This window comes from Homo sapiens, chromosome 9, assembly GCF_000001405.40.
Source record: "Homo sapiens chromosome 9, GRCh38.p14 Primary Assembly".
In the NCBI taxonomy this organism is placed as follows: Eukaryota; Metazoa; Chordata; class Mammalia; order Primates; family Hominidae; genus Homo; species Homo sapiens.
The window spans coordinates 12983281-12992527 of record NC_000009.12 but is presented as its reverse complement, the minus strand read 5'-3'; positions in this window follow the sequence as shown (position 1 = coordinate 12992527).

The following is a 9247-nucleotide window of genomic DNA, read 5'->3' as shown; positions in this document are numbered from 1 at the left end:
ACCAGAAAAACTTACTTTAAAATTTAGGTCTGTAATTAATGTTTCCAAGGATAGCCATATCATTTAAACATATTGATTTGTGTTCATTGAGCACTTACATATAGTGTACATGGCACTCTGTCATCTCCTCTTTGCACATGCTATTTATCTATGCTTCCATATAAGGCCAAAATTCCTACCAGTGGACTGAAACTCACATTTCCTATCCTACTCAAAATATTGCTTTTAAAATGGTCTCCTCTCTGATCACCATTATTTTTTCCTCTTGCTGAATTATTCCCACAAGCAAACATGCTACATTATCTCCCATATTAAAACAAATAACCATAATGACAAAACAATGGCAAAAAACTCCTTTCTATGTCAGTTTCGTTTTGCTGCACCCCCAAAATCATTGTCTTTAAAATAGCAGCTATGTTGTCAGTTCATGATTCTCTTGGTTGGTAGTTTAGGTTGGGCTCAGTGGGGCTGTTTTGTTCTTGCCTGGGCTCCCTCATGTATCTTGGTTAATTTTTATTTGGTTAGGTGGCTCTGCTTCGGGGGGTTGATTGCCCGTACTTGAGTGACAGAGTGAGGGGGTGAAAAGGAGAGTTGAGGTGATGGAGACACATGTCTCTCATCATCCAGCAGACTAGCTTGGGCTTGTTAACATGGTGATTGGAAGGTATTTCAAGAGAAAGTGGAGAGTTTGCAAGGCATGATGAAGCTCAGAACAATATCACTTTCACTGCCTTCTGACGGTCAAACAAGCTGCACGGTCATTTCAGATTCCATCTGTTGATGAGAAGATCTGCAAAGTCACAATGCAAAGGGGAAATGAATACAGGGAAGAGAATAATTATGGTCATTTTTGCAAATTTTTTTTTGTACTTTTCATCCTATTGCTCTTCCACCTACTATCCCCTTTTTCTGCTTCCTTTCAGAGAAAATCTTAATGAAAAAGTTTCCATACTCACTCCCTCTATTCCTCTCCTTCCATCCTTTAAAAGGAAGAATGAAAACCTATTCTTGTAAACATGGCCATGATCTCTACATTGTCAAATTCAAAGGTCAGTTTTAATTCTCATGTAATCAACCTGTTACAACCATTTGGTTTGAATTGCTAGCCCCCATCCTTTTTGAAAAAAATTGTTCATTTGTCACCCGAGTTGCACCTCTCTTGATTTTCATTCACCATTCTTTCTCAGTTTTCTTTTCTGGTTCCTCTTCTTTTCCTTAACTTTTAAATATTGAAATACTCCGGGGCTTAGTTCATGGAATGGTCTTGGGTTTTCACTGAGCCCTAAACAATCTTATCCAGTCTCATAGCTTTAAATATCATATTTTTACCAAATTTATATCTGCAGCCAAGATTGTTCACTCAACATCCACACTTGGACATACAACTGCTTACTAGGCTTTCTACTATAGTATCAAACTTAATATGTCCAAAACAAACTCTTATTTTTTTTTCCCACTCCAAACTTCCTACTCATATATTGTTTCTCACATTGGTAAATGCCGTCTTTATTCTCTGGTTACTTAGACCAAAAATTGATATATAAAACTTAATTTTCTTTCATCTTCACTTCCAGTAGATCAGCAAATCTGATGGCACTACCACTCAAAGAGATGCAAAATACAAATGTGATTGTTAATACCAAGTGCCAACTTGATTGGACTGAAGATTTACTGACTTCATGTCAGCATTTAAGTATTGTTAACTTTATGGTATAGTATTTGGGTTGGGGATTTGTGCGTTTCTGGCTGTACGAAGGATAGTTGTATTATGTTAGGCATAACTATGACCTTATTATTTTCTTTATTTGAAGATTAAGTATGATCTCAGGAGATGAGTATGGGTTCAAGTTGACAAAGGGTGGACTTATGAAGGTTAATACTGAGTGACAACTTTATTGGATTGAAGGATACAAAGTATTGATCCTGAGTGTGTCTGTGAGGATGTTGCCAAAAGAGATTAATATTTGAGTCAGTGGGTTGGGGATAGCAGATCCACCCTTAATCTGGTGGCCACAATCTAATCAGCTGCCAGCAAATATAAAGCAGGCAGGAAAATGTGAAGAGGTGAGACTGGCCTAGCCTCCCAGACTACATCTTTCTCCTGTGCTGGATGCTTCCTGTCCTCAAACATCAAACTCTGAGTTCTTCAGTTTTGGGACCAGACTGGCTCTCCTTGATCCTCAGCTTGCAGACAGCCTATTGTGGGAGCTTGTGATCATATAAGTTAATACTTGATAAACTATTAACTTACATATATATCCTATTAGTTCTGTCTCTCTAGAGAACCCTGACTAATACAACAACCAGTTCTCATCATTTCTATAACAGCTACACTGGTCCCTGCCATCACATGGAACTTTGTCTTAGTTTCTGCTTTTGCTCTCTTCCCTTTTGTCTATTGCCTGTATAGCAGCTGTGTAATCCAGAATAAAAACATAAATGAGATTATGTTACTCCTTTTCTCAATGCATTTCACTGAGAGTTGAATGCAAAGTTCTTAACCTAGCCCACAAGGCTGCACATGCTTGAATGTCTCACAGCCTCTCTGATCTCATTTCCTATCATTTTTCTCCTCACTCACTCTGTTCTAACCATACTAGCTTATCTGCCATTCCTTGTACTTACTGAGTGCATTCCTACTACAAAGGCTTTGCACTTGTTCTCTTTGCCTGAGAAGTGCTCCTTTGTATAATCATGGGGCTCATTCCATGACTTCCTTCAGTGCTCTGCTCAGATATCACCTCTCCTAAGATGCCTTCCTTGGTCACTCCATATACAATAGCTGCCAGTCATTCTTCATTGTCCCTATTCTGCTTTATTTTTGTCATAGCACTTATCACATCTGACATAATATTTACTGATTTTTTGTTTTATTATTTTCCTTCACTAGAATATTGGCTTCATGAGGGTAGGGACATTGATCACTTTGGTCACTGCTGAATCCCCAAGGCTTGGAACATCTTGAAACACAGCTCTCAGTAAAATTTTGTTGAATCATTGTATTGTTAAAAAAGAAAAAAACTTATTTTAGTCTTCAGACCCACTGAATGAGGTACATATTGAACATTATCTCCCTCTACCTTGTAGGTGAAAAATTAAGGCCCAGCAAAGCTAAGTAAGTTTTGGAGTTTATTCAAATGCAACTGCTTCTGTCTTTTACTATTACTATTATTATTGGTTTTAATTCTAGCCACTATGCAATGGTGACTCCTGCTGACTGAGCAGGCCTGCTGGGAAAAACAAATGAGATAAAGTGAAAATACCAACAGGCACAATATCTGGTATACTTTTGGTGCTAGACCACTCTCTATTTCTCTTCCTTTCACATGATTTCTTTTTACATTTCTTTTAATGTTTAAATATTATATTTTATATGTGCTTTTTATTGTACACTGATACAAATTGCCTTTGTACATAAGAATGTTTAAAAATTATGAGTTACAGCATGGGCATCATAGTGAGACCCTTACTTTATCAAAAATAAAAAAAATAATAATTAGCCTGTTATGGTGGCATGGAGCCCAGGAGTTGAGGCTACTGTGAGTTATGATTGTGTCACTGTACTCCAACCTGGGTGGCAGAGCAAGATTCTGTCTCAAAAAAATTTTGTGAATTAACAAATTAGCACTGACTTATTTTTATTAGAAAGGTCTTCTATTGTAAAATATACTCATGGTATGTACACAAGACTAGACAAAGTCAGTTCTGGAACAAAAAATAGTGTAATACCTCTGATCATGAGCGTGCCTCACAGTCTTAGTCAAATAGTAGTCTTACAGAAGATATTTTGAAAGACCAAACCGTTTCATAGGTTGTTCAGAAAGTGTCATTAAATGTTATACAAAATAGAACAAATGTGTCCTGGGATAAATCCTAGAAATAACCTGCAGTCATTACACTGTCACTTCTCTGCCTCCAAGCCTGTGCTATAAAATTCGATAAAAAGAGCACTGCAAAATAGAAATGAAAAAGTTTGAATTATCTCTTATAGTTCTATTCTAAAGTGAAGTATAAAGTACATATTCTTTGGAAAAGAGGACCAGGTGATATAAGAATTCCAGAGGAGGGCAGCAAAGATAGACAGTAGAATTAACACAGGTGAAAAGAACAGAGAATCTTACTTTACAAATCCTGTAAATTTTCACAATAGTGAGTGTTCTTATGGTGGAGCATCCCTTACCATTCTGTTATTCATTGGTTTTCTAAAATGAAATATGAAACCACACATAATTAACCTCTTTATCTTAATCTATTTCTGTATCCATTTAAGTATATTTGAAAGGCCTATAGTTGTTTGCACTTCTAAAGAATATTATGGTAGAGTTGTCACAGCTGGAGCTTATATGACTTAATTTAGTCTTTTATTCAACAGATATTTATTGACTGTCTGCTATGTGCATTGCGTTAGGTGGTAGGGATATGACGTTTAATTTCATTGGAAAAATAATGCCTAATTTCTTAAAGCTTTTACCGGGTTAGTGAATTATTCATAAACTGACGTGCATTAGCAGTTATACCCATTGATAGCATTGTCACTATTCACTTATAATCTGATATGAAAATGGAATGAAGTTACAGCTGGCAGACCAGAACTTGTGTTTAACTCTGAACATACCTATAGGAAAGCATGATATTTAGAGCAAAAACATAAACAGCTTAAGAATGGGGTTTTGTAAAATATTTACCTTTGGTTCTAATTTGTGTCTGTGTCACTAGATGATAGACTGGTTCTGGTGAAAAAAAATAGACTAAATAAAATACTTTGATAAAAACAGCTGCATTTTACCTGTTTTTCTAATTCTTATCAGCAAGTTTGATACTCTGAGGTATGACAAGCTTTTTTTTTTTTTGAGGCTTAAGTTTTGTCAGCATATAGTAAATTAAAAGACTATTTGGATGATGCTACTTAAATTTTCAGGCTACAGTATTCTTCCCACTGTGAATACAGTGTATTGTTTAGGCTGCTACATGTTGCTATCAAGTGATAGAAACTATTTATGCAATAGAGCTGTAAAATACTGAATGGCCATAAAGTCTGGAAAACATTTTAATACAATATCATTCAACACATTATGTGCTGTAATGTAATATCAATAACCTATGTGTGAGTGTGTATACCATTATATGTATTCACCTTTGTTTCCAGACTTTATGACCATTTGGTCAAACGATTTAAAATTTAACATTTGAATTCAGCTGTATTTGATTTTTTTTTCTGACTAACTGAAGACTGATAGAAGTTGAGTCAAACCTACTTTTTCAAGTGAAATTTTTAAAGTAAGGAAAAACATTTAAAAAAAATAAAAACCAAGAACAGAGAATACAGTCTGAGTTTTTAATGGTAGGGTATTTTGTCCCTTCAAGAATGTGGTTGGTTCCTGAATCCTCCCTCTATCTTGTTTGCTTGCTACACTGGGCGGCCTGCTCAGGGCTCCAGACACCCAATGTGCTTCTTGCTTCCCATACTTTATATCAAGCTCCTTCGGTAAGCCTGAAATAACCATACCTCTCTTTTTTATCCTTTGAAATCCTTTATGGTTGAGACCAAATATCACTCCTCCCTCTATGTGTCATGGTCAAAAAAGTTTTTGCAACATTCTAATTGATGCACACGTCAGTCCTTCTCTGTGTTCCCCGGTCAATTTTCTGGTCCTTTCTTCATGGAAATTACTTAGCAGATTTTAAGATTCTTGGTGAGAGGATTCTTATGTTCTTCATCTATGTATTATCATCAATGTACCTAACAATTTTCAATAAAATTCTCTCAAACAAATGAAGAGAAATACACAAGAAGTCATCTTAATTTTTTAACCTGTGGTCTGCAGATCTATTTTGTGAGTACCCATGAAAATGGTGGCTGCCTTGTTTATGCTGGAAAATGTTAGCCATGGGGCAATGAGGACAATGAACATAGGAGGCATTGGAGTCCAGGAACCTGAAGTCACACCCTGTCAATGGGATCATATAAGATACTTCAACTTTTTGAGCCTCAGTTTTCTCAAATACAAAATGGGAATCATACAACATATACATTTCAGGCTTATAGTGAAGATTAGAAATAAATCTACAAATCACATAGCAATAATAATTATTATTATATAATGGTTGATTATCTAAAGAATAATGTGCTCTGGATAGTAGAATGTTCCTGTAAATTGAGAATTATAAATTTTCAAGAAAATAGAATAGGTAGTCCTCATTTTCAAAAGATAAACTCTAGAAACACATTTGACTAAGTAAATTCATTAATTTTTCAGAGAAAAAAAAGCCATTTTGGGGGGGATTAGGCTGGTGTGATCCAAACTGTAAGTTGTAGTGTATTGTAGGTTGATGAAATAAATTTAGTAGGTCAAGACCAGCATTACCATATGTAATAGATTAACATTTGATAAAAAAAATTACAGTGCATTTAACTTAATAATGATGAGAATGATTTATGGCAAGCATAGTTAAATTCAATACTTATGCACATGTGTGTTTTAGATAGACATATAAAAGGTATGTCTTATTGGTTGTCATGGTCAACATTTTTGCAGAGCACTCAGCTACAGGATATCAAATAATAAGTTAGTACTTAGTACTTACCAGCTACTTTCTCACAAAAGTAATCATTAGAGGATAAAGGGTTAAGCTGTACTGGCTGGGTAAGACATTAGCTGATACAGAGCACCAGAAGTATTTGAAATCACAAGGGTTTCAAAGCTAAAAATACCTTATGCATAATTCAGCTTTTTTTGGATAATTCATTAACCTTTTATAAATTTTCTAAACCACATAGTCTTTATCATGATTATTAATTATTAGTATACAGAAGTGTTCTGGAAAGATCTAGTTAAAGTGTGCTTTAGTTAAAAGCACAGAAGACTTTCCTATATATGAATGTAAGCCAGGTTGAAATAAAAGAGTTATTGTTTTCCCCATAGTTTATTGAGATGTGTTCCATGCCCCTGAATACAGAGGGGAAAATTGGTTAAAATGAGAATTTCAACCCTCTTTGCTTCAAAATATTTGAAAATATCACATAATGGAAGAATGGCCCGGCCTAGACCAGAGGTTCCTAATTAGGAGTCCATGAGCCACGTTCAATTATATATATTTTTTCTTCTGGTATTTTTCTTGTTTCAGTGAAAATTATTTTTAAATAAATTACTTTTATATAAAATGTTTTGGAAGCAATGTTTCACCCTAAACAAATTGTAGTGAGCCAGGAGATCCTACTGTATAATTTAAATAGTTATAACCATCTTTTTTGTGTTATAATTTCTGTAATGGATTTCTCTTTATAGGCGTTAAATAAAACATGTCCTGACATCAGGCTTGTGGATATCTATCTTTATGTATTTGGTCTAAGTTAATTCGAAAGTGTTAAAATGAGAAATAGAAAATTCACATATTCTATCACTGAAAGCATTGCTGTAAGGCACTACTCACATATTATATGGTTCTAGACAAGGAGAAAAGGAAGACAATGAGACTGCTTATGTATTTCATATTGTCCCACATTTAAAATATCTTGAAAGATTCATATATTTTTCTATGAGAAGAATTTTCAATTATAAATGCATGTAGTTGGAAAAAAATCTCAAATTTGTTGAAATATTAAAACTTTGTCTCAAATGCTACTCAGAGAATCCTTTAGCTAAGGAAGCCAAAAACTGAAAGAACTTGGTGAAGTCATGGCATGATCTGTAACTAAGAGCAAGAAAAAAATGTAAAGCAGTGCCTTGGTCCACCAGTATCATCAATTTCAGATTATTGACATTGCTTTTATGACTTAGAAGGAGGTCATAAAAGAATCGACAACAACGGAAAGAAGTTGTTCTTGTCTCTGAGTGAAGCCAGCTCCTGGTATTCATCTGCTGTGTGCACACTAATCCATTAAGGAAGAATTCCTATTTTTGTGCATCTCTTTGGGACTATTTAAAGGTCTTCAATTGGTGTAGTTTCTTTGCCAAGTAAAATTTTGCTGGGATGAAACTTTTTATACTTTATGCATGATGAAGCACCATAAGAGTTTAGCAGATCTTATTGTTCCTAACTTTTGTGAAGAAACAAAGCTTTACTTACCATTGTGATTTAGGACTTTCTACATCAGTATACATTGGAATAAAATAATGCTGCCTGCAGTCCTAAAATAAACCTCTTCTTCTTCCATGAATGCTACTGACATTGTGAAAACTAGAGCCATAAATCATCATCTTGCCAGTAAATGGGACAAAATAAACAATTCTTGTCTAATTTACAGAGGTTTACTGATTTCTTATGGGTCATATCTTGATATGCTTCACTGAACTCCAGGCAGAAGTTTCACTCTTTTGGAATCTAACAAAATACCTGCCAAATAATTTGATAAGAATTATTTCATTAATAACATGGCCTTATGTGTAGATTTCACTTCATAATGCATTCATTCAACACTTCTTTTTTTAAAAAATGAATAAAGAGATAAGTCTTTTGTTTCAAGGTCTTACAATGTTATGGTGGGCCAATATTATGGTCCTATAATGTTAGGTCCTACAATGGTGTTACCGATGTTGCTGAAAAGCTCAGAACTCTCGAAGTGTCCCAAAGCTGACACTTTGGGAAAAGAGATCAGAAGAAGATTGTTGTGTGAGGTTCCTGAGAATGTGTATCCTTGGCTGGCTCAGCAAGTCAATTTATTTTTCTATGGAAATCTACAGACATCTAGAAACAGGAAGTATGCTTGAGATTTACTCCTGCAGAGAAGACATTAGGCTCAACATGGATTTTCTCTTCTTCCTCATTGTCATGGTAAACATTGAAGGGGCAGAAATCCTTTTTTTTTTTTTTTAATTTTATTATTATTATACTTTAAGTTTTAGGGTACATGTGCACAATGTGCAGGTTAGTTACATGTGCCATGCTGGTGTGCTGCACCCATTAACTCATCATTTAGCATTAGGTAAATCTCCTAAAGCTATCCCTCCCCCCTCCCCCCACCCCACAACAGTCCCCAGAGTGTGATGTTCCCCTTCCTGTGTCCATGTGTTCTCATTGTTCAACTCCCACCTATGAGTGAGAATATGCGGTGTTTGGTTTTTTGTTCTTGCGATAGTTTACTGAGAATGATGATTTCCAATTTCATCCATGTCCCTACAAAGGACATGAACTCATCATTTTTTATGGCTGCATAGTATTCCACGGTGTATATGTGCCACATTTTCTTAATCCAGTCTATCATTGTTGGACATTTGGGTTGGTTCCAAGTCCTTGCTATTGTGAATAG